The sequence below is a fragment of the Homo sapiens genome, chromosome 3 (genome assembly GCF_000001405.40).
Source record: "Homo sapiens chromosome 3, GRCh38.p14 Primary Assembly".
Classification (NCBI taxonomy): Eukaryota; Metazoa; Chordata; class Mammalia; order Primates; family Hominidae; genus Homo; species Homo sapiens.
Window position 1 is genome coordinate 42,456,247 of NC_000003.12, and position 26,707 is coordinate 42,482,953.

Genomic DNA, 26,707 nt, shown 5'->3' on the forward strand with positions numbered 1-26,707 from the left:
TAGTAGGCTCCAAACATGCCCATGCCCTGCTTCCCAGAACTTTTGAATGTATTACTTTACATGGCAAAAGTGACTTTGCAGATGTCATTAAGGTTACAGACCTTGAGATAGGGAGATTATCCTGGATTGTCCAGGTGGGCCCAGTGTAATCACATGAGCTCTGAGAAGAGCCCTTCTCAGATGTGGTCAGAGGAAAAGGTCAGAGAAATGCAACATTGCTGGCTTTGAAGATGGAGGAGGGGGAGCATGAGCCAAGGAATACTAATGGCCTCTATAAACTGGGAAAGACAAGGAAATAAATTCTCCCCCAGAGTCTCCAGAAGGTAATGAGGTCCAGAAAACTTTCATTTTAACCCAGAGAGACCTGTATCATACTTCTGACTTAAAGAACGTTATAAGATCAGTAAATATACGTTTTTTCAAGCCACTAAGTTTGTGGCGATTTGTTTCTGCAGCAATAGAAAACTAATACAGTTACAATCTCTATCGTTGTGGATTTGTCTATTTCTCTTTGCAGTTCTCTCAGTTTTTGCTTCATGCATTTTGAAGCTCTATTATTAGGAGTATAAATTCTTAGGATCATTTGACCTCTTTGTCATAAAAAAAGATCTTCCTTATCCCTGTTATTAGTCTTTGCTCTGAACTCAAATTCATCTGATATTACTTCAATTATTTAGCATGGTGTATCTTTTTCCATCTTTTAACTTTAAACCTATTTTTGTCTTTACATTTAAAGAAGTCTTTTGTAGGCAGATTTTTTTTAATTAATCCAGTTTGGCAATCTCTGCCTTCTAGTTGAGCTGCTTAGATAATTTACATTTAATGTGATTATATAGTTGGGCTTCTATTTGTTTCATCTGTGCCTTGTGACTCTTTTCTTCTTTTTCTACATTTTTAGATTAAGCGTTTTTATGGTTCGATAGTTATCTCCTTGGTTAGCTCATTGTTGTGTTACTTTATGTATGATTTGTGGTTTATATATATTTAATTTATCACAGAATAATTTCTGGTGATATTATACCACTTTGCATGCAGTATAGAACCTTACAATAGAATGCCAGTCTGAGGAACTTGGAAAACCACTCCCACAGAGAAACATCCATTAGATTGGTCAAGATTAGCAAATATAATCATTCAAAGTCTCTGAAGAGTGGCCAAAGGGCTTACAACAAATTGAGAAGCATTTATTTAACAAAATCAGTGGAAACATGGTAAATAATGTAATATAGTAAATAAGGTTTATGCTGCACAATGGGGGAAGAGGCTATTCCTAGAACCCAGGTAATTCCTACGGACCCTTCAGGGCCACCACGTACAGTGTAAAAGTTCAGAGAAGACTACAGTAACTCTATACAAGCAAGGCAATAAGGGTTCAACTCCCTCAGGATGAAGGCTGGACTACCCAACGAGTCAAAATCCATATAAAAGGCTGGTTAAGGCCATAAGAACATGGAATGGGTGCTAGAAGAAGAAATCCATAAGTGAAAACTATGGCCATTACAGAAACAGACACTGAACCTACCACATTTTCTTCCTAAGGGGCCATGTATTAATATATAATGATACAATTTAATTTATTTTCCTCATCCCCTCTTCCTTTACATCACTGTTGTATGGAGTCTGATGGTTGTAGATAATCCTACAATTCAGACCTTAGGTTGTGGAATATTGAAACAAAATAATGACAGAACTACAAGAACAAACATCCATCATGCAGAGATCCAGGATTTTGAAGGGATACAGTTACTGATGAAACACTAGGTTAAGCCTTCTTTGGAGGGGCATACAGTTGACCCTTGAACAATATGGAGGTTAGAGACGTTAACCACTTGCATAGTTGAAACTCCATATATAACTTTTGACTTCCCCAAAACTTAACTACTAATAGCCTACTATTGACTGGAAGACTTACCAATAACATAAACAGTTGATTAACACATATTCTGTATATGTATTATATACTGTATTTTTATAATACAGTAAGCTACAGAAAAATGTTATTAAGAAAATCATAAGGAAGAGAAAATATATTTGATATTCATTAAGTGGAAGTGGATCATCAGGAAGATCTTCATCCTTGTCATCTTCAGGTTGAGTAGGCTAAGGAGGAGGAAGAGAAGAGGTTGGTCTTGCTGTCTCAGGGAAGCAGGGGAGGAGGAGGTGGAAGGGGAGACAGTGGAGACAAGCACACTTGGTGTAACTTTGTGGAAATACATCATAATTTCTGTCTGACATTTTTGCTTTTTCATTTCTCTAAAGATGTTTCTATATAGTATCAATTCTTCTTCCATCATTTGCTTTGGTTTCAGTGCCCCATCATAGAAGGGTCTATGTCATCAAATAAGTCAAATGCCATCTTGTTTAATCAAAATCCTTCTGCCAGATCATCTATTGTCAATTTGTTTTCTGGCACTGCTTCTTCTATGTCTTCTTCCTCATCATCTGACACTGGTTCAGAAGCATTCATCTTCATTAGTCGTCTTCTGTTAATTCCTCTAGTGTAGTGTCTGTCAGCTCTTGAATTTCTCCAACAGCCATATCTCTAAACTCTTCATCCTCTACCTTCTTGCCATATCCACAATCTCTTTTATGATTTCCTTGATTGGCTCTGTCATAAATTCTGTGAAATCTTGCACATATGGACACAGATTTCTCTAGCAGGAATTTATTGTTTTGGGCTTGATAGATTTCACAGCTTTTACTATGACAACAATGACATTTTCAATGGTGTAATTAATCCGTCCAGATTTTCTTGAGGTTCTCTTCCATAGCATTGACAATCCTTCCCATAGAATACTATATGTAATGCAACTTAGTTGTCCTTATGCTTGTCTCATCTAGAAGCTGAATTAGAGACGTTGTGTTGGGGGCAAGTAGACCACTTGGACATCTTCAGTGTTGAACTCATGGGTTCACCCAGAGGTGGCCAAGGAGCATTGTCTGATAGTGAAATAACTTTAAAATGCAGTCTCTTAATGGCAAGGAACTTCCTGACTTTCAGGGACAAAGCATCAATGGAATCAATCCAGAAAAAGTGTTCTCATTGTCCAGGCCTTCTTGTTGTACAACCAAAAGACTGGCAGTTGGAGTTTATCTCTTCCCTTCAAGGCTCTAGGGTTAGCAGCTTTACAGATAAGAGCACTCCTAATCATAAACCTGATTGCATTTGCACAAAACAGTAGCATTAGCCTATCCCTTCCTGCCCTAAATCCTGGTGCCCACTTCTCTTTCTTACTAATAAATGCCCTTTGTGGCATTTTTTTTTGTTTTTACAGAATAGAGTACTTTCATCTGCATAAAAACCTATTCAGGCAGATATCCTTTCTCCTCAGTGCTTTTCGTGATGGTGCCTGGGAAGTTCTCTGCTGCCTCTAAGTTGGCAAAAGCTGCTATTCCTGTTATTTTGACATTTTAAAGGCCAAATCACTTTCTAAAATTATCAAATCATCCTTTTTTGCCATTAAATTCTCAGGCTTTAGATCCTTCCTTTTGCTTTAAGTTGTCATATAATGACTTGGTTTTTTCTTGAATCATATTAGAGTTTATAGGATATGCCTTTTTATAGCAATCCTGCACCCACACAAGAGCTGCATTTTCAACATGAGATAACAACCTGTTTCACAGTAAGTCCAAGGTTTTCACACCTGTTGGCACAGCTGGCACGATGACTTCACTATTTTTACAATAGTCCTTACACTGGATTCATTAATTTTAAAATGGTGGGCAGCCAGAGCTGCAGACCTCAATCCATGGTGCATATTTTTCGACTTTTTCAATTCAACTTTTTCTTGTAATGTCATGCCTTTTCTCTGCTTTTTAGGAGCACTTCCAGCGTCATTAGTGGTACTTTGTATGTGTCCCATGGTGTTATTCAAAGTTTATAATGTTGCACTAACCATGATGAAAAATACAGGAGAACTGCAGGAGATCACTTTTTACTGCAAAATGCAATTTGCTGGAGGGTTGGATTCTTCATGTGAAGGTGCTTAGCATCACACAGTGTTTTAAGCAGATCCTTACAACACTTGAGGTCACTGCAACAGCAACAGGAGGTGGTTACGAGATTACTACAGTAATACAGTATGTATCATGGTTAATTTTATGCAGTTATGATTTAATATTGCATCTTTACTTTTGAATTTATCCTGACTGTGAATAGCAACATGTGCAGTCTGTGTGTGTAAGTTTTAATAAATTTTAACTTTTTATAATAGATTTGTGTATATTTTATCGTAGTAAATGATAAAATAGATGACTATCTACATACTAGTCTTGAACCTTCAAATAAAACTTTGAAACTAGAATTAGGATATGGTCCTGGACTTTAAATCTTGGATATGGACCTCAGACATAAACCTTGAACCTGGACCCCAAGGATAAACTGTGGAACTTTTACCTAGAAATTGGACTATGGCATCAGATCTGGACCTCGGACATAAACCTGAACTGACCTTGAATGAAGGCCTTGGAAGTGAACATAAAATCTCCAACCACCATGACACTTGACTTGGATGTTGGAACTTAAGCTATGCTTAGATTTATCCAGGACCTCAAACCTGACTTTAGACCTACACCTGGGTATTAGACCTGAAACAATTGACTTGGAATTTGAACCTGTACTATAGATCTTGACCTGAACCTCAGACATAGACTTGTCCTTGATATCTGGACTTTATACTTTCACCTTAGACTGGGATTTGGCCAGATCATTGGACCTGACCATGGACCTGGACTTTAAAAACTGGACCTTAAACCTGGATCTCAGGCCTGAATATGAATCTTGGATCTGGATCTTGGACCTTGCTTTGAAATGCACATAGGACCCAACCTAAGGCATGAAACTTTGCTCTTAACTTAGACCATGAAAATGAATTTTGGACCTGGACCTAGACTTTGGCATTGGACCTGGACATTGCACCTAGAACTTACACCTGGCCCTCAAACCTGGGTAAGAATTTTGGACCTGGATCTTGGACCTTTCTTTGAACTCATATTAGACCTGATCTTGGGCCTGGAACCTGAACTTTGGATGTGGATCTAGACCATTGGATCCAGGGTACTGAATCTAGGTTTTGGACTTTAGAAATGGATTTTGGACCTTGAACCTAGACCTCAAAACATGGACCTCCCTATTGCTTTGTAGAAGAAATTATAATGAACATAAGCATTTATAAGCAAAATATCTAAAATTAAAAAAAAAGTCATTCCTCTCAATTACACTGTTGAATTCTAGCAGCATTTGTGAAAATCAGCTAAGACTCACATAGAGTTCACAAAAGTTCCTATTGCAAGTTAGAGTGAGTTAAAGTGAATCTAAACAATATTTGTGTGAAAAGGTCTATTATCACATACTATTATTATCAAAAGTACTTTCTTATTCAAGTTAGAGCCAATTAAGATGAATCAGATAAGTGTGAAAACAAGCAGTTTCCCCAAATATATAAACAAGCCCAGTCTTGTACATTCTTCTCAAAAGTATGTTCTTGCTGAAAATTAAATAAAATCAGGTGTACTTGCTCAATAAGAAAGAAAACAAGTTCAGAATCAGAATCAAAGTTAAAACTTTAGTTCCAACATCAAAATCATGGTCCAAAGTCAAAATAAAAGGTCTAGATCCATGTCCAATTTCTCGTGTATAAGGTCTGGTCTAACGTCCAATGCAAAGCCAAATCCAAAGTTCAAAGTCCTGGCTCACAGTCTAGATCCAGTTTGAAGTTCTAGGTGTGAGGTCCAAGTCCAAGGTCCACATCAAAGTTCTCATAGCCATATCCAGAGCCATGTCAGGTTCTGGTCAAGGTCCTATTCTAAGGTCCAGAGCTGAGTTTGGGTCCAAGTTTCCAGGTTGACTTTGAAGTCCTAATCCCAAGTCCAGTTCCAAGTTGGAGGTCCACATTCAAATGCAAGCTCAATGCAGGTCAAGGTTCATGTCCTGGTAGAAGGCCCAGATACATGTACAGGCCCATCATCCATGTGCAAGTCCAATTTCCATGTTTAAGCTCAGGTCCAATGTCTAGATCAAAACAAGGTCAAAGATCCAGGCCAAAGGTCTATATTCAGGTCTAATTTCCAGGTATAAGTTCAGGACAAAGAAGCAAATAAATGTCAAAGTCTGAGGTCAAGGTCCAAACTTTAGATCCAAGGTCTAAGTTCAAAGCCAAGGTTCAAGGTTCAGGTCTGAGGTTCTGGTCAAGGCCCAAGACTGATTTCCAAGATCCAAGTCCAGTTCCACATCTGAGGTCCAGATCCAAACGCAGGTTTACTGTAGAAGGGCAAGGACAAGGTCTAAACCTCAGGTCCTGGTCTAGGTTTAACTTAATATGTAAATATTAGATCTAGACTCAGGTCCAAGATCCAGGTCTACTGGCAAATCCAAGGATATGAAAAAATCCATGACTAAAATTCCAGATTCAAAATTCATATCCTAAGTCAGTTCCAGGTCCAGGTCAGAATTCCAGATCTGAGGTCCAAATCCAAGTTTAGAAGTCCAGATCTAAGATCCAAAATACAGCTCTAGGTTCCCAGTCTTAATCTAAGACCCAGGTCCAGTTCAAATCCACATTATAAATCCAAGTTCGTTCAACATCTGAGACCAGATCAAAGTCAGGGTCTAAGTCCAGGTCCAAGGCTCAGGCCCACAGTCTTGGTTGAGGATCAAGTTTTAGCACCAAGTTTTAAGCAAGATCATGTTCAGGTCCTCCAGGTCTGAGCTCAAAGATCCCAAGGTCAAATGTCAATGCCCAAGATTCAAGTCCCAAATCCAGGTTCATGACCAAGAATGAGATCTAAAATCAAGTCCCAGCTCATGGAAAAATTCAAATCTAAGTTGAGATCTTATGTTCAGTCCAAGATCTAAATCCATGTAAATAGTCTAGGCCAAGGCCTAAGGTTTGTGACCAGTTCAAAGTCTGAAGTCCAGACACAAGATTCAGATCCAACAATCAGGTCCTGATTCAAGATGCTGGCATAAGACCAATGTCTAGGTCTGAGACATATTTCCAGCACAAAGTCCAGGTCCATATTTCCAGTACAAAGTTCAGGTCCAGGACTTGGTTACTGATCCAAAGTCAGGGTCCATTGCAGAGGTACAAAGTCCAGGTCCAACATCCATATTGATAGTCATGCCCGGGTTTAGGTCTGATGTTTAGGTCTGAGGTTCAACTTAGAGTTTAGAGATTGAAGTCCAAGGACAAGTCAAGAGCTCATGTCCAGTTTCAAGGCACAGAACCAAATTCAGGTCATGATCAGATCAGAGGTATAGGTCCAAGATCCAGCTTCAAAATTAAAGATACTGATCCAATTTCTAAGTCCAAAGAAAATATTTGAATCTAGATCCAAGATTCATAAGGACTAGGACAATGCCCAAGGTCTAGGTCCAGTTCCAAGGTCCAGGTTCAAGATCCTGATACCAAAAACTGGTTAGATTCATCTTAATTTGGACAAATACTGTTTGGATTTGTTTTAATCTGCTTTAATTTACAATAGTAACTTTTAAGAACACTGTGACTTGGATCTAGTTTTCACAAATACTGCATGGATTCATCTTTTGTCTAACTCAAAATAAGAAGTTCCTTTTTAGAGTTATGTGTGATACTTAGCTCATTTTTGCATATTCTACTAAGATTCGTGTCACCAGAGATGAATCTGCTGAGAGGAATGCGTGCTTTTCAGATTTTGCTCAGGTAATGTTTAAGTGCCTCACAGATTATTTTACCAAGCAATAAGTTACTTTGGAGAAGAGTGTTTGAGACTTGTTTACACTAATAATGCTTCATTTTAAAACAACTATACAGTTTTCCAGTTCCACCCAAATGAATTGTCCCATTCTCCTTGGTCCTCTCTCTTACAACTAAAAATCTCTGGACACAAAACAACATAAGCATAAGAAGACTTTGGGCTGGGCATGGTAGCACATGCCTGTAATCTTAGAACTTTAGAAGGCCGAGGAAAGAGGATTGCTTAAGGCCAAGAGTTTGAGAGACCAGCCTGGCCAATATAGCAAAACCCCATCTCTATTTAAAAAAAAAAAAAGTTGGTTCTTCGAAAGATAAACAAAATTAATAAACTGCCAGCCAGACTAATGAAGAAAAAGAAAAGAAGAGAAAAAATCCAAATAAATAAGATCAGAACTGAAAAAGGAAATATTACAACCGATACCACAGAAACACAAAAGATCACAGACTATTATGAACAACTATATGCTCACTAACTAGAAAATCTATAGGATACGGATAAATTCCTGGAAACATACAATCTTCCTGATTGAACTAGGAGAAATAGAAACCTTGAACAGACCAATAACAAGATTGAATCAGTAATTTTAAAAATCTTCCCATAAAGAAAAGCCCAGGACCAGATGGATTAACAGCCAAATTCTACCAAACGTACAAAGAACTAATATCAATCCTCTAGAAACTATTCCCAAAAACGGAGGAGGGAGTTCTTCCTAACTCATTGTATGAGGCCAGCATCACCGTGATACCAAATCCAGACAAGGACACAACAAAAACAACAAAAAAGAAAACTACACAGATCAATATCCCTAATGAGCATAGATGTAAAAGTCCTCAAGAAAATACTAGCCAACTGAATCCAATAGCACATCAAAAAGATAATACACAGCCAGGTGTGGTGATGCACTCCTTTAGTCTTAGCTACTTGGGAGCCTGAGGCAGAAGGATTGCTTGAGCTCAGGAGTTTGATACCAGCCTAGGAAACATAGTGAGACCCTATCTCAACAAAAAATTTAAAAATGAGCTGAGCATGGTGGCATGTGCTTGTAGTCCCAGTTACTTCAGAGGCTGAGACAGGATTGCTTGAGCTCAGGAGGTTAAGGCTGCAGTGAGCCGTGATCATGCCACTATGCTCCAGTCTCAGGGACAGAGCGAGATCTTGTCTCAAAAAAAAAAAAAAAAGTTTTTGGCCGGGAGCAGTGGCTCATGCCTGTAATCCCAGCACGTTGGGAGGCCAGAGCAAGTGGATTGCTTGAGGCCAGGAGTTCAATACCAGTATGGCCAACATGGTGAAACCCTGTCTCTACTAAAAAATATAAAAATTAGCTGGATGTGGTGGTGCATGCCTGTAATCCTAGCTTCTTGGGAGGCTGAAGCATGAGAATTGCTTGAACCTAGCAGGCGGAGGTCACAGTGAGTTGAGATCACGCCACTGTACTCCAGCCTGGGCAACAGAGCAAAACTGTCTCAAAAAAAAAAAAAAAATTTAAAGGTGCACAAATCTCTCATACACTGTTGGTAGGAATGTAAATTAGCACAACCACTATGGAGAACAGTTTGGAGGTTCCACAAAAAACTACAAATAAAAATACCATATGATCCAGCAATCTCACTGCTGGGTATATACCCAATAGAAAGGAAATCAGTATATCAGAGAGATATCTGCACTCCCATGTTTGTTGCAGCTCTGTTCACAATAGCCAAGATTCAGAAGCAACCAAAATGTCCATAAACAGATGAATGGATAAAGAAAATGTGGTACTTATATACAATGGAGTACTATTCAGCCATAAAAAAGAATGAGATCCTGTCATTTGCGACAACATGGATAGAACTGAGGGTCATTATGCTAAGTGAAATAAGCCAAGCCAAGAAAGACAAACTTTGCATGTTCTCACTTATTTGTGGGATCTAAAAATAAAACAATTGAACTCATTGAGATAGAGAGCAGAAGGATGGTTACCAGAGGTTGGGAAGAATAGTGGAGGGTAGGGAGGAGATGTGGGGAATGGTTAATGGGTACAAAAATAGTAGTTAGAAAGAATGAATAAGGCCTAGTGTTTGATAGTGTAACAGGGTGACTATAGTCAATAATAATTGTACATTTTAAAATAACTAAAAGAGTATAAGTGGATTGTTTATAACACAAAAGATAAATGCTTAAGGGAATGGGTATCCCATTTTATATGATATGATTATTATGCATTGTATGCCTGTATCAAAACATCTCATGTATCCCATAAATATATACACCTACTGTGTACCCCCCAAAAGTGTGCAAAGGATATGAATAGTATATATATATATTTTTTGAGATAGTCTCGCTCTGTCACCCAGGCTGGAGTGCAGTGGTGCGATCTCAGCTCACTGCAAGCTCCGCCTCCCAGGTTCATGCTGTTCTCCTGCCTCAGCCTCCCGAGTAGCTGGGACTACAGGCGTCCGCCACCATGCCCAGCTAATTTTTTGTATTTTTAGTAGAGATGGGGTTTCACCATGTTAGTCAGGATGGTCTCGATCTCCTGACCCCGTGATTTGCCTGCCTCAGCCTCCCAAAGTGCTGGGATTACAGGCATGAGCCACCGTGCCCAGCCCCATGAATAGTCATTTTTTAAAAGAAGAATACAAATGGCCAGCAGGTATGTGAAAAAATACTCAACATCACTAAACATCAGAGAAATACAAATTAAAACCACAATGGGCTATCACCTTACCTCAGTCAGAATCACTATTATTAAAAAGTCAAAAAATAACAGATGTTGTCAAGGATGCAGAGAAAAGGGAACTCTTATATGCTGTTGGTGGGAATGAAAATTAGTACAATCTCTGTGGAAAACAGTGCAGAGAGTGCTCAAAGAACTAAAAATAGAACTACCATCTGATCCAGCAATCCCACTACTGGGTATCTACCCAAAGGAAAAGAAATCAACCCATCAGGCCTGCACAGTGACTCATGCCTATAATGTTAGCACTTTGGGAGGCCAAAGTGGGAGGATTGCTTGAGCCCAGGAGTTTGAGACCAACATAGTTAGACCTTGTCTCTACTAAAAATAAAGATTAAAAAATTTGCCAGGCATGGTGGTGTGCACCTGTAGTCCCAGCTACTTGGAAGGCTGAGGCAGGAGGATCTCTTGAGCCTGGGAGGTCGAGGCTGCAGTGAGCTATGATCAAGCCACCATACTCCCGCCTGGGCAACAGAGCAAGATCCTGTCTCAAAAAGAAAAAAATACAAATCAATACATCAAAAAGATACCTACACTCATATATTTATTGCAGCACTATTCACAATAGCAAAGTATGGAATCAACCTAAATATCCATCAACAGATAATTGGATAAAGAAAATGTGGTGTATATATACAACAGAATACCATTCACCATTAAAAAAAGAATAAAACCATGTCTTTTGCAGTAACATGGATGGAACTGGCGGTCATTATCTTAAGTGAAACAAGTCAGACATAGAAAAACAAATATTGAAGATTTTCACTCAGCAGTGGGAGCTAAATATGTGTATATATGGATGTAGAGAGGAGAATGATAGATAATGGAGACTCAGAAGGGTGAAGGAGTAGGAGAGCGATAGATGATGAGAAATTACTTAATGGGTGCAATGTATGTTATTTGAGTTATGGCTACCCTAAAAGCCCTGACTTGACCACTATGCAATCTATGCATGTAACAAAATTGCACTTATACCCCATAAATTTATACAAATAAACAAAAAGAAAAGAGAAATACAGAATGAGAATGATATGGTTTGGCTCTGTGTCCCTACCCAAATCTCATCTCAAATTTTGTAATTCCCAATATTGGGAGAGGGGTCTGATGGGAGGTGATTAGATCATGGGGGTGGATTTCCCCCTTACTGTTCTCATGATAGTGATTGAGTTCTCCTGAGATCTGGTTGTTTAAGAGTGTGTAGCACTTCCCCTTCACTCTCTCTCTCCTACTCCACTGTGGTAAGATGTGCTCGCTTCCCCTTCACCTTCTGCCATGATTGTAAGTTTCCTGAAGCATCCCAGCCATTCTTCCTGTACAGCCTGTGGAACTGTGAGTCAATTAAACCTCTTTTCTTCATAAATTACCCAATCTCAGGTAGTTCTTTATAGTAGTGTGAGAATGAACTAATACAGATAAGTAGATTAAACAAACAGAAAATGGCAAATCATCAATGAATATAAATATACCAATAAAACAACAGATATTGGCACAGTAGATTTTAAAGATGATACAATATACTGCCTACAAGAAATTCATTTCAAATATAAAGACACAGGTACGTTGAAAGTATAAAGGTGGAAAAAATACACCGTGCAAACTTTGAGCCCAATAAAAGGTATATTAATGTCAGATAAGGTAGACTTCAAAGCAAAGAAAATTACTAGATGCAAAGAAGGCCATTACATAATGATAAAAGAATCAATCCACCAGAAAGATATGGCAATGTTCAATGTGTAAATACCAAATAACAGAGCCTCAAAATACACGAGTGATCTGAAAGGAGAAATTGAAAACCCACAATTAGAGTTGAGAACTTTAGCACCCCACTCTCAGCATTTGTTAGAACTACTAGGAAAAAAAGTTAGCAAGAATATAAAAGAACTGAACCACACAACCAACCAAAAGAATCAAACTGACATATATAGAACACTCCACCTAACAAGAGCAGAATATGCATTATTTGTAAGTATTCATGGTACACGCACCAAGACAGACCATATCCAGGGGTGTCTAATTTTTTGGCTTCCCTGGGCCACGTTGGAAGAAGAATAATTGTCTTGGACCACACACAAAATACACTAACACTAATGATAGCTGATGAGGTAAAAAAAAAAAATCACAAGAAAATCTCATAATGTTTTAAGAAAGTTTATGAATCTGTATTAGGCCGCATTCAAAGCCATCCTGGGCTGCATGTAAAAAAAAGGTACAAAAATTAACCAGGTGTGGTGGCACATGCCTGTAGTCCCAGCTAATCAGGAGGCTGAGGTGGGAGGATCACTTGAGCCCAGGAGGTGCAAGTTGCAGTGAGCCAAGATTGTACCACTGTACTCCAGCCTGGGTGATAGAGTGAGACCCTGTCTTAAAAAAAAAAAAAATACATATACACACACACACACACACACACACACACACACACACATACATACATACATATGTTTACACACACAGAGATACACATATATACACACACATATATATGTATAGAACTAAATTAAAATGAAAATATAACATATCAAAATATGTGAGGTGCAGCTAAATGGTTGAGAGGGAAGTATAATACTAAAGGCTCACATTAGAAAAGAGAAAAAGTCTCGAATCAATAATGTAAGCACCCATCTGAAGAAACTTTAGAAAAAGAAAAGAAAAATAAACCCAAAGCAGGCAGAAGGGAGGAAATAATAAAGATAAGATTATAAATCAGTGAAATTAAAAATTAAAAAATAATAGAGAAAAATCAATGAAACAGCCTGCTTGTTTGAAAAATTTAAAAAAGATGATAAGCCCCTAACAAGACTCACAAAGATAAAAAGAGAAAACACAAATCACCAGTGTCATAAATGAAATACTACAATTTTATGCTGATAAATTTGACTCCCTTGCTCTTCCCCCCATCTTGGCTCCTGTGGAGGCCTGCTGGTAACAGGACTTATAAAAGGAAATATGTCTGGAAGACTGTGGTCCAAGGCCATTTTTGCTGGCTATAAACGGGGTCTCCAGAACCAAAGGGAGCACACAGCTCTTCTTAAAATTGAAGGTGTTTATGCCTGAGATGAAACAGAATTCTATTTGGGCAAAAAGGCCCACGGAAACAGTGGCATGGTTCATGCCAAATTCCAAAGCGATCTTCCTGCTAAGACTATTGGACACGGAATCTGAGTGATGCTGTACCCCTCAAGGATTTGAACTAATGAAAAGTCAATAAATAAACGTGGATTTAAAAAAAAATTTACTCCCTTGAAGAAATGGACCAATTCCTCCAAAATCACAAACTACTAAAATTTAACCAAGATGTAATGGGTAATCTGAATAGTCCTATAACCACTGAAGAAATTGAATTCGTAATTTTAAAACTCCTAAAAAAGAAATATCCAGGCTCAGGTAGTTTCAGTGGAGAATTCTACCAAATTTTTTTTTTTAACTTAACACCAACTTTACACAACATCCTCCAGAATAATAGAAGGGGAAGGAATACTTTCCAACTCACTTTATGAGACTGGTATTACCCTGATATAAAAACCAGACAGCAGGCTGGGCACAGTGGCTCACGCCTATAATCCCAGCACTTTGGGAGGCTGAGGCAGGCAGATCACATAAGACCAAGAATTCGAGACCAGCCTGTCCAACACGGCAAAACCCTGTCTCTACTAAAAATACAAGAATTAGCCAGGCATAATGGTGCATATCTGTAATCCCAGCTACTGGCACATCTGTAATCCCAGCTGAGGCAGGAGAATTGCTTGAACCCAGGAGGCAGAGGTTGCAGTGAGTTGAGATCGTTTCACTGCACTCCAGCCTGGGAGACAGAGCAAGACTCTGTCTCAAAAATAAAAAAAAATAAAAAAATAATAAAAAACCAGACTGCAATATTGCAAGAAAAGAAAACTACAAACCAATATCTCCCATGAACTTAGACACCAAAATCCTCAACAAAAATTAGTAAACTCAGTCTAGAAATGTATAAAAATAATTATGCAACAAGACCAAGTATGATTTATTCTAAGTATACAAGACTGATTCAATATTTAAAGAACAATCAGTGTAATTCACCACATAAACACCACGTAATATATATATATATAGAGAGAGAGAGTACTAGAATTTCTAACCACTGCAATAAAAGAAGAAAAATAAATAAAATGTTGCCCAGGCTGGTCTCAAGCGATCTGCCTGCCTCAGGCTCCCAAAGTGCTAGGATTACAGTGGACTGCACCATTGCACTCCAGCCTGGGTGACAGAGTGAGACTCTGTCTCAAAAAAAAAAAAAAAAAAAAAAAAAAAATATATATATATATATATACACACACATATATATACACATATATATACATATATACACATATATATATACACATATATATACATATATACACACATATATATATACACATATATATACATATATACACATATATACATATATATACACATATATATACATATATATACACACACATATATATATATAGTACTAGAATTTCTAACCCCTGCAATAAAAGAAGAAAAATAAATAGATTGAGAAGGAAAAAATAAAACTGTTTCTATCAGAAATGATACAACTGTCTATGTAGAAAATCACAAGCAATCTTTTTAAAAAATCCTCCAAATAAGAAGTGAGTCTAGCAAAGTAGCAGAACACAAGATCAACGAACAAAAATCAACCACATTTTTTTTTTTTTTTGAGACAGAGTCTCACACTGTCACCCAGGCTGGAGTGCAGTGGCGTGATCTCAGCTCACTGCAACCTCCATCTCCCGGGTTCAAGCGATTCTCCTGCCTCAGCCTCCTGAGTAGCTGGGACTACAAGTGTGCGCCACCATGCCCAGCTAATTTTTGTATTTTTAATAGAGACGGGGTTTCACAATGCTGGCCAGGATGGTCTCGATCTCTTGACTTCATGATCCACACACCTCGGCCTCCCTAAGTGCTGGGATTACAGTTGTGTAATGACATTACAGCTGGAAATGACAGTTGTGTCATTTCCAATAGGAACAGCCTGGGCAACGGAGTAAGACCCTTCCTTGAAAAAACGAAAAATAAACCAAAAACCCCCCGCAAATAACAAAGGGAAGAAAAGATAATTTTAAAGTGAAAAAATCTGGGAGATACTACCTTAGCCAAGTGATCAAAGTTAGTATTACCAGTAATGGGACAGTCCTGGCTCACTGCAGCCTTCATGTCCGGAAAGCAAGCATCAATCCTCCCACCTTAGCCCCCCCAAGTAGCTGGAACTACAGGAATGCACCACCACACCCAACTAATTATTGTATTTTTTGTAGAGGTGGGGTTTCACCATGTTGCCCAGGCTGGTCTCAAGCTATCTGCCCGCCTCAGCCTCCCAAAAGTGCTGGGATTACAGGCATGAGACAGGATGCCCGGCCTGCTTATGCTATTTTTAATGTCCGAATAATCCACATAATGGTTTTTGTTTTAGTGTACATGGTTATATGTTACTATTATGAATTAGGAAGAATTTTATATTTGAAACAATTTTTTTTATAGGATCTTGCTCTGCTGCCTAGGCTAGAGTGCAGTGGTGCAATCATAGCTCACTGCAGCCTCAGGGATCCTCCTACCTCAGCCTCCTAAGTATCTACAACTACAGGTGTGTGCCACTGTGCCTGGCTAATTTTTAAAAAATTTTTTTTGCAGAGACAGGATCTTGCCATATTGCCCAGGCTAGTCTTGAACTCCTGGCGTCAAGCAATTTCCCGAACTCAGCCTCCAAAACTGCTGGAATTACAGGTGTGAGCTGCCGTACCCAGCTCGAATTCTTAATTGAAAATGTTGCATAAGCCCACCAATAAAATAAAATAGTTTGTTAATGAATATGTAAATATTTGTGTAATATACATAATTTAAAGCATGTCCCGGTACTCTCTTAAAGTGTCTACATTTGGACACTTGAGGCTATGTGCCTGGGAATTCATTGCAAAATTGCCCTTGAGGTGGTTGAAGTCAGACATTCAGGCAGAGATGATAGTGATGGCTCCAGGGCAGCCTTCAGCCCTGCTTTCAGTCACCCTCCACCCACCACCCCTTCCCCCACATGCTCAACTCAGAGCCCTGGGTCCCAAAACAGATACACTCCATTAACAAGCAAGGGTATGCCCTCCCACTCCAAACGGCCAACAGGCAAAAGACCAGAACCAACAAATATCTGGAGGGATTTGGGTTCTTCTGAGCAGACTCATCACCCACCTCCCTTCTCTTTTCCCCCTGCCCTCCCTCTCTCCTCCTTCCCTTAAACACCTTCATTCCACGGGTGACAACACTGAGGTCCAGAAGGGGCAGAGGCTGAATTAATGGCATGGTCAAGATCACCACAGAGCCAGGACTCAACCTATCCTTCTGGTTTCAGGAGAGCCCTGCAATGGTGTAGGAGGCAGGAATCTTGGCTTAGGATTCACCTGCCCTGGCTTTCAACAGGCTGCTCACTCCAGCCTGGAGCAAGCCACTGTGCCCATCAGGACCCAGCCCATGTAGCTCCTGACTGGGCTTCCAGGAAGGGCTGCGTGGCACAGCCCGTGGTTCCCTGCCCCCTGCAACCTGCAGCACACCACCCTGTGCCCAGGGGTGAAGTGCTCTCAAACAACTGCTCTGGTCACCAATCCCCACCCCAACCCTCAAAGCAAAGTCTCCACCCTCCCTGTTCCTGGACGATTCATTTCATCCTGTTTCCTCCTCCAGGAGCCTGGTTAGAGGCGTCTGAAAGGCAGCTCATCCCTCCTTGGCAAACTCCCTCTCCCACTCTGGAAGACAAAGAGGCTGTTGACTCCTCCCTGGCAGTAAGGAGCACCCAGCCCTTGGGAACTAGGCTCCTGGGAAGGTGGGTTTGCCTCTCCTCCCTTCCCAATGGGTCTTTGGCAAAAAGAAGCAACTCTTCCTGTGACATACCTAAATCACTCCTGCTGCTTCCAGCCAGTTCCCTCCGGCTCCACGGAAAAGCCATTATGCAACTCCAGGCTTTGCGTGCATGTGAAGTGGCTGGTGCTGGTCAGGACATCTGTTCTTCAAGATGGAATGTGTGCCCATTGTCCAGTGCAGATAACCCAGACCCCAGCCTGTAACCCTGAGAGGAAGACGGAAGCTGGCTCCTCTCCAACACGTCACCGCACTGCATGCCTCACCAGAGCACAGATGGTGGCATTCCAAGTGCTGAGGAGCCCCTGACACTTACACAGAGTTTAGCTATCTTCCAGGGAAGCAGGATTTTGTGGGGGCTCTAAATTCATCTATGACTTAAGCAACAGTTCTCTGTTAACCAGACCTTGGGTTACCCAGAGCATGCTCTCCCCTGGCTTCAGCAGCCAGCAGGGAGAGCCTTCTTTGGGAGCCAGGGACGTGGGGGTGCTCCTGGGTTCCCAGACCTCCAGAGAGATCATAAGAAAGTGGGAAAAGAACCTCAAGCTCCAGCCCAGCCCCACACTGTGTGGTGTGTAGCTTGGAGCTCTTTGGATTTCAGCTTCCTCAGAGATGGGCAGACAATCTCTCAGACTGTCCAGCTTAGGGACTGTCTCTTGTTTCTAACACATATGTCATCTATTGGCTCCCCAAAACATACCCTGCTCTGTCCTCTGCCTCCATAGAATACGGGCTAGGAGGTTAAACCATCCTCCAAACCACCAGGGTCTGAAACTTCCAGCCCTTCCCCCAAAACAAAGATATATTGCAGTTCCAGAGGGGGACTATGCTTCTCAGTCCTGGGGCCACAAAGATCCCCCAGCCAAATCTCACCTCCCACATATGGTACAAAAAGGCAAAGTACACATACAGGGCCTAAAGACCGTGACATCAGAGCACAGGAGGGAGGCAGGATAGGAGCTGTGGGAACAGTCCATTCTTATTCACTATGTGAGCTTCCCCAGGTCCCTTAGCCTCTCCCAGCCTCAATTTCTTCAACAATATAATGGGCACAAGTATACACCCCAACAGAGCCCAGGGTGTGGCCCAGAGTCTCCTTAATACTTACTCAGTTCTGCTCCCTGCCCAACAGGTCACTGCTCTGCCCACCCTGTGCTTCTTCTCATGCCACAGGGAAAACTGGACCAGCCACCCCCTTCTCATAGGGAAATCCTGCAATCCCATCATTCGGAGTGATGATCAAGCCCGGACATAGCCTTCATTTATGAAGGCCTGGTCCAGCAGGAATTGTGCACTCCTTTCTCTGAGCCAAAAAGAGGAGTAGGATTGAGTAGCACCTGAATAAATAGAAATTTCTGCCTTTACCCCAGATAAGCAGAGTGGCTTTGCTGAGTATAAGAAACAAACTCTGGGTCCCCTTCATGCTGTTTTCTCCATCCCCCAGTGTAGTTACCTTATTTCATGAGGAGAACCCAGGGTCTTGATAGCTTTGGGCTCACTGTGGCTCCTGGAAAGGGCTGTGCTTGTTTCTGAAAACCAACTGATTGGTTCTCATTATCAATCTAACAAAATCCCAGTCCCTTTCTAGCATGTCCCTGGAGCTCTGTCCTCATGCCTGACCTGAGATCACACCCTGACCCTGACCCACACTCAGCCCTGACCTTGTAGAGGCTGGGACTTCAAAAGGAGTCTGAACCCAGCGAGACAGAAGTATCTACACAATACTGAAACGCTGTTACTAGAGCTTCTCTCTCCCTTACTGGCTTTGACGAAGCAAGCAACCATGTTGGGGAACCTCACATGTCAAGGAGCTCAGGCAGCCTCGAGAACCACGGGCAGCCTCCAGCTAACAGCCTTCAAGGACCTCCAGCAGCCAGCAAGAAAGTGAGGTCCTTGGTCCTATAGCCGCAAGAAACAATTCTGTCAACAACTACATGAGCTTGGAAGCAGACCCTTCCCCAGCTGGGCCTCAGGTAAAACCACAGCCTTGACTGATTCCTGCATTGCAGCCTTGTGAGACTCTGAATTACAGGACCCAGCTGAACTTAGCTGGGTTCTGAATTACAGAACCCAGCTAAGACTCCTGATCACGAAAACTGTGAGATAATAAGTATTCATTGTTTTATGCTGCTAAGTTTGGGGTCATTTGCTACACAATAGATAGCTAATATAGAGCTGTACTGGGAAGTCTTGACAGAACTTCAGGTCATTGAGATAGCTAAGGGTGGTCAAAATATTAGGCAGCCGTTGCGGCAGGGTAGTGTGAAATAGATAACAGCTACATTTTACTGAGCACTTACTATGTGCCATGCACTGTGCTAAATGCTTTCCGTGTGCTAACTCATTTAATCCTCACCAGGATTTAGGGACTAAATCCACATTTTACTGACAAGGAAATTGAGGTGCAGAGAAGTTAAACACCTTGCCCAAGGTCACACAGCTGATGAATAGTAGAGCCAGAAGTCACACCAGAAGTACTTTGCCATAACCCTTCAAGAGTAGGGGAGCTGGGATGTCAGTCTGAGAAATTTTGTTCTTCAGCCAATGGGAGCCCTTGAAAGTGGGGAATAGGAGAGTGGCACAGCCAATATGTGTTTTGGAAAGCCCTTTTTGGCAGGCCAGCAAGGAAGGTAGGGAGCCAGGCTGTGGGGAGACTTGGAGGCTGTGGGAGTTTGCAGAGGATGGAGAAGTCAGGAGGGAGACCCAAAGTGAGTCATGTGGGGATGGGCTGGAGGGAGTAGAGGACCACAGGGCAGAGCTGAGATGCTGACCAAAAGCCACCTAGGTCAGTAAGCATCTTCGGGGTCAGGGCTGGATTAAAGTGACCTAGTGGCCTCTGAGCCTTGCCACTTCCCCACTTCTGCTCAGCAGCCCTATAGCCTGTTCCTCCTCCTCCCAGGGTGTGGTGTGGCTGAGGGAAGCTGTGCCCCCCAGTCAGGCCCTAACCAATTGAATGGTGTCCTCGAATGCTCTTCCCTCCTTCTTCAAAGGCTCCTGGAAAGTGCACTCGAGGGTGAATGTTATTGCCTGGCACTCAGAGGCCAGGTAGGCATAGCTGAAGCCACCATGGAAGTCAGAGCCTGGCTCTCCCAGGGCAGAACACCCACCACGTCTTGAGGCTCAGGTTTGCCCAGGATTCTACTGAGCCCCTCTCTGCAGTTTCCGCACCCCCCACCAGAAATGAAACAAAACCAGTCATTGACAGGAATGAGCCAGGCTTAGGGCAAATGCTGCAATTAGTTTTTTAATCTGGTGATTTACAAACCTCTAAGACATCCGGAGCTCTGAGACTCAAAGCAGCTGATCTCATGCCAGCTAATGAGGGTGGTGGCTTCTAACTGGAGCGCCTGGCAGCTGGCACTGCTGGGTTGAACTGCCCTAAAGCCAAGACTGCATTAGTAGCTGGACCGGCTCTCCTGGTGGCCTCCACAGGAGGAAGTGCCTGAGGGCTCAGTAGGGTGGAGCTAGGCCCAGCCTGCCTGCCTTTTGAAGGCTCCACTCCTAGTCCTGCCCAGGCCTCCCTCCTTGCAGTCCTGTCCTCCCTGGACTCTCAAGCAGCAGCTCCTTTGCTTTTCCTGTGCCTTCTGCCAGGATGCCCTCACTCTCCTCCACCACCCTGCAAATCCCACCACACTTTCACAAGCCAGCATCTCCCTGACACTTTCCAGAATCCCAGCAGAGATGTTGCCTTCCTCCTCTAAGGGTCCCCAGCTGTCTTGCTCCCCTCTGGTGGCCCTGACAACATTTTGCCTCACATAAAAGTGCTATCTCAATGCAGTCTTATTTCTTTCTTGTCTGAGTCATGTAGGGCTGAGGCTCAGTCCAGTTCGTCTTTGCACTGTTCCCCATCCAGCCTACAGAGCTCCATCCAGGAGACCCCCTAAAACAGGCATGAGAGCACTACTGGTGGGGAAAGCAGCCTTGAAAGAAGCCAGTGCACAGGAGGGTATTTTTAACAAGTTAGCAGAGGTTTTCTCTCCTTCCCCTCAAACAACCTGTGGACCTGGATACATCACCCGGGGAAGAGAGGGTGGAGTGGATGGCGCCCTGCCCGTATCCCCTCCACATTCACCTCCCCTAGCAAAAGACACCTGTAACTTTTTACTGCAGGCACCTGCAATTCCCTATCTGAGGGCTTTTTTGGCCACAGGACATGAAAGGACCCACAACCTATGGGAGTTGATGGAGAGATGCCCCAGCTTCCTTGACCTACAGATGGGGATAGCACGACTCTGAGGTGTGTTCCATGCAGCCTCCCAGAGCTGGAGTTCCAGGCACCCATGGGGGTGACCTGGTCCTTAGCCACCCTGCATTGGCTGCCTTCCCTCTTCTGTCCCACTTCCTCATTTCCCTTGAGTGCTTCCTAGGATCACCTCCCGAATAAATTGCCTGTGCTCAAATTCTGCTCTTGGGGTCTATTGCTAAAGGAATCCAAAAGGAGGCAAGGAACACCTATGAGTCCCCCTGGATCACAGATGATCCCAGAGGTCTCTGAGGAAAGTCTCAAAACTGATCAGGACATGTTGACAGCAGAAAAATTTCATGAAACTCAAGAGCAAAGCTCCCTGGGCCCACTCCCCAGACAGAGCCTCAGCAGGGGCAGTAAGAACCCAAAGAGGAAATGGGCATGTGGGGTAGCCCAGAAGAGACTTTCTCTGTCTCCTGGAGAGCTGGCTCCCCAGGCATAGCCAGAAGCCTCAGTTTTCTGATCCCACAGGCACAGCAGGAAAATAGCAAAGAAACTCCAGGACTGAACCATTATGGAAACCCCTTAATAGCTGGACTTACATCAGCCCCCAGAGCTTTGACTCAACCCCCCAGAAAGGCAATAAGTCTAGAAAATCATTGGGATTTAATTTTCTGTCATCGTAGTAGAGCGGGAGCCCAGAATCAGAAATAATTTGGGTTACGGAACATGAAACAGTTTCTTACACACCTGAGTTTAAGGATACAGCAGTAGCTGCTGAACTAGCATTCCTTCCTCTTTCCCTCTTCGTGGTTCATACCTGGTTGTCTAGGACCACTTAGGATGCTGCAGAGTAAGCACTGGAGACAAAGCACTAGTTCCAGGACCCCCTTCCTGGAAGCCCCCACCCCTAATGCATGGGAAGAGCTCTAGAGTTCAGTGAGGTATCTTCCACATTTCTCACTCTCTTTGGGATCTCGTGGGGCTCATAGTTTCCCCAGCACCAAGCCCAAGCTATCCAGGGCCAGGCTCTGCCAGGAAGCAGTCAGGGGCTAGCCCTCTCCATCCATCTGTAGAAATGACTCTTTTGAGGGCAGAGTTGAGAGAGTGTTCCCCAGTCCCTCCTCAGGAGATGGCCAATACCTTCCAGTCCCAACCCTCCTTTCCACTTCTACCCCAGCCTCACCTGGAAGCCACGGTGGCCATGACTTGAGGCTGGAGTTACCCTCCTGTTCCCAAGGTCTGGATGCAGAACATCTGCATAGGCCACATATGCTGGCAGGGCCCCTGCCCTTGTTGGCTCAATCAAAACCAGCCAGGCAGGGAGAGTGTCCAGCTGGGGCCATGAGGCCTGAGAAGGCAACAGATCTGAGTTAAGGCTTCCCATAGAACAGATAATCTTAGCCCTGGGTCGAGTGACATCCAAGAAATGCATGAATAGAAATTTATGGAGTCCAAATACTTGGGTGGTAAAAAATGGCTACTTTATTCCATTTTAACTGAAGGTTAGCATTCTCTTCCATGATGAAAGTAGACAAATAGCACAGTGGTATCAGCAGGAGCTGTGACTTTATCACCAACAGAAATCCCAGCTACTTTAATCTCAAGTTACCATTAGTGGAGATGTCTCAAAATGTCATTTATTCTCATCACTACTTTAAAATCACTGGGGTTACTCAGCCTGCCACTAGATCTTGTTATTTGATACATTAATAAAGAAACACATGGATTACTGCGGCCAAAATATGTTTTTAATATTTTGATAACTGTATTTCAATTGATTTCCTATGTAATTATATGTTTTGTTTCTTGTGCATTTTAAAACATTATCTGGAGAAGATGGTAGATAGGAGACAGGGCTAACGTGCAGCTCCCACATGGACAGACAGAACACCATGATCTTTTGCTCCAAGAACTACTGCAGGAATGTGCAAGGAAAACCAAAATAATTCACAGATTCTTTGAAAGAAGTGGCATGCTGCTGCAAATTCTGTGAAACAGGCAAAAAACTGAGGCCCCAAAGTATGTTGGGGGGGATATCTGCCTCTGAACATACATCCCCACTGGAGAATCTGAAAATCCAGATCATGAGAGGAAGATTTAGCCTTGCCTAGAGCTGAAACAGAATTAGGAAGTTGCGTGAAATATAAAAAGTAGAGGTAGCAGTGGGATGGGCCTTCTAGGCACTCCCAGTCTCCAGCTTGAGCCCAGGGAAGCCATCTCTGACTATTTCTCACAGGGGCCCTTGGGGAAGGCAGCCAGCAGAATTGGGGAGGGATTGCAGGGTGAAGAAAACTCCCAATTGAAATTAGTAGTGGTTTCAACTGGGCACAAATTTTCTTAAGCAGAGTCCAGGGGACAAGCAGGAGCTGCTGCAGGTTTGAGTGTAGGAGCATGGGAGCTGGCTATGGAGTGGGCAGATGAGGAGGGGTGAGGTCTGAAAGCCTGCTTTCTCAGCAGGGTGGCTCACAGCCCGGGGCAAGTTCTGAGTGGGAATATTGCAAGAGTGAGAAAGGCCTCGCCAGCTGCATGGGAGCTGGGTGAGGCCTCTTGCTACCAGCTATCTCCCACTTCCCTGGCAAACTATATGACACAGCAGAGGTAGCCAAGATCCCCTCTGGAACATAGCCCCATAGGCCTGAGAAACACCCCTTATCCCCCCCAGTAGCCACAGCAAGTGCTGCCCAAGAAGAGTCTGAGCCCAGACGTGCCTGATCCTGCCCCCACCTGATGGTATTTCTCTACCCACCCTGGTAGCCAAACACAAAAGACAGAAACTCTTGGGAGCTTTATGGGCCCACCAATCACCTGAGAAATTGAAATACTTACCTTGGCCAATTTAGGGCAAGCTTAGATCCCCCTACTACTACCACAGCTGGTGCTCTCTTGAAAGTGCCACCTCCTGGCTGGAGGTCAACCAATTCAGGCCATTACAGCAACCCATGACAGAACAAACCTGATCCCAGGAAGGAGAAAAAACACCTAATTCCACTGCCTGCAACATCCTGGCTAACCAGAAATCCTGAGTTTGTCCATGTGACAACTTCACTGCTAGCATAATCAGCATTCAAGAAAGGCAGCACACTAAACATATCTATAACAAAAGACTCTCACAGAGTCTACTTCATTTCCCTGCCACCTCTACAAGAGCAGGTGCTGGTATCCATGGTTAGGAGACCTGAAGACAGATTACATCACAGGACTCTTTGCAGACATACTGCAGCACAAGCCTGGAGCCTGGTAGCCCACAGGGTGGCTAGACCCAGAAGAGCAGTAACAATCACTTCAGTCTGGCTCTCAGGAAGCCTCATCTCCAGGGAAGAGGGAGAGCACCACATCAAGAGATCACCCCATGAGACAAGAGAATCTGAACAGCAGGCCTTGAGTTTCAGACCTCTCCACTGAAATAGTCCACCCAAATGAGAAGGACCCAGAAAAGTCATTCTGGTAATATGACAAAACAGGGTTCTATAACACTCCCAAAAGATCACACGTGCTCCCCAGCAATGGACCCAAACCAAGAAGAAAGCTCTGAATTGCCAGATAAAGAATTCAGAAGGTTGTTTATTAAGCTACTCAAGGAGATAACAGAGAAAGGTGAAAACCAATTTAAAGAAATTTTTAAAAAATACAGGATATGGATAAAAAAATCCCCAGAGTAATAGATATCATTAAAAAAATCACAACTTCTGGAAATGAAAGACACACTTAGAAAAATACAAAATACCGTGGCAAGTTTCAACAATAAATTAGAACAAGTAGAAGAAAGAACTTCGGAGCTTGAAGACAAGGCTTTCAAATTAACCCAATCCAACACGGACAAAGAAAAAAGAATTTTTAAAAATACAAGACGCTCAAAGAACACCTGGGAAATTCATTGCAAAAAAAGATCATCACCTAGGCACATAGTCATCACATTATCTAAAGTCAAGACGAAGGAAAGAATCTTAAGAGCTGTGAGACAAAAGCATCAGAAAACCTGTAAAGGAAAACCTATCAAGGTTAACAGTGGGTTTCTCAGCAGAAACTTTACAAGCCAGAAGGGATTGGGGACTCATTTTTGGCCTCCTGAAAAACAAAAATAATTGTCAGCCAAGAATTTTGTATCCAGCAAAACTGAGTCTTTTTCAGACAAACAAACACTGAGAGAATTCACCACTAATAAGCCAGCCCTGCAAGAAATGCTAAAAGGAGTTCTAAATCTTGAAACAAAACCTTGAAATGCACCAAAATAGAATCTCCTTAAAGCATAAATCTCACAGGTCCTATAAAACAATAACACACCAAAAAACAAGGTATTAAGGCAACAACAAACATGATGAATAGAACAGTACCTCACATCTCAATACTAACGTTGAATGTAAATGGCCTAAATACTCCTCTTAGAAGATACAGAATGGCAGAATGAATAAAAATCCACCAACCAAGTGTCTGCTGTCTTCAAGAGACTCATCTAACACATAAGGACTCACATAAACTTAAGGTAAGGGGGTGAAAAAAGATATTCCATGCAAATGGAAACAAAAATGAGCAGGAGTAGCTATTCTTATATCAGACAAAACAGACTTTAAAACATCAACAGTAAAACAGAAAGACAAAGATGGACATTATATAATAATAAAAGGATTAGTCCAATAGGAAAATATCACAATCCTAAATATTTATGCACCTAACACTGGAGTTTCCAAATTTATAAAACGATTACTACTAGACCTAAGAAATGAGATAGACTGCAACGCAATAATAGTGGGAGATTTCAATACTCCACTGACAGCAATATACAGGTCATAAAGACAGAAAGATAACAAAGAAACAACGGAATTAAACTATACCCTAGAACAAATGGACTTAATGAATATTTACAGAACATTCTACCCAACAACTGCAGAATATACATTCTTTTCTTCAGCACATGGTACATTATCCAAGATAGACCATATGTTAGGTCACAAAACTAGTCTCAATAAATTTAAGAAAATCAAAATTATATCAAGTATCCTTTCAGATCACAGTGGAATAAAACTATAAATTAACTCCAAAGGGGATACTCAAAACTATTCAAATACATGGAAATTAAATGATCTGCTCTTGAATGATCTTTAGGTTAACAATGAAATCACAATGAAAATTTAAAAATTCTTTGTGCTGAACAATAATAGTGACACAACTTATGAAAACCTCTGAGGCTGGGTGGGGTGGCTCACACC

General features: G+C 42.1%; 1 long non-coding RNA gene and 1 pseudogene across 1 annotated transcript; one reads left to right on the forward strand and one right to left on the reverse strand.

The window, feature by feature from the left end:
• Nucleotides 1–1,163: 1,163 nt before the first annotated feature.
• Nucleotides 1,164–17,435, reverse strand: LOC124909371 (uncharacterized). The gene is made up of 2 exons (XR_007095891.1): nucleotides 17,348–17,435; nucleotides 1,164–4,034 (listed from the first exon to the last, which is right to left on the reverse strand). It is a non-coding gene; the product is annotated as an uncharacterized LOC124909371 (long non-coding RNA).
• On the forward strand, nucleotides 13,361–13,669 carry RPL35AP8 (ribosomal protein L35a pseudogene 8; annotated as a pseudogene).
• Nucleotides 17,436–26,707: the final 9,272 nt, after the last annotated feature.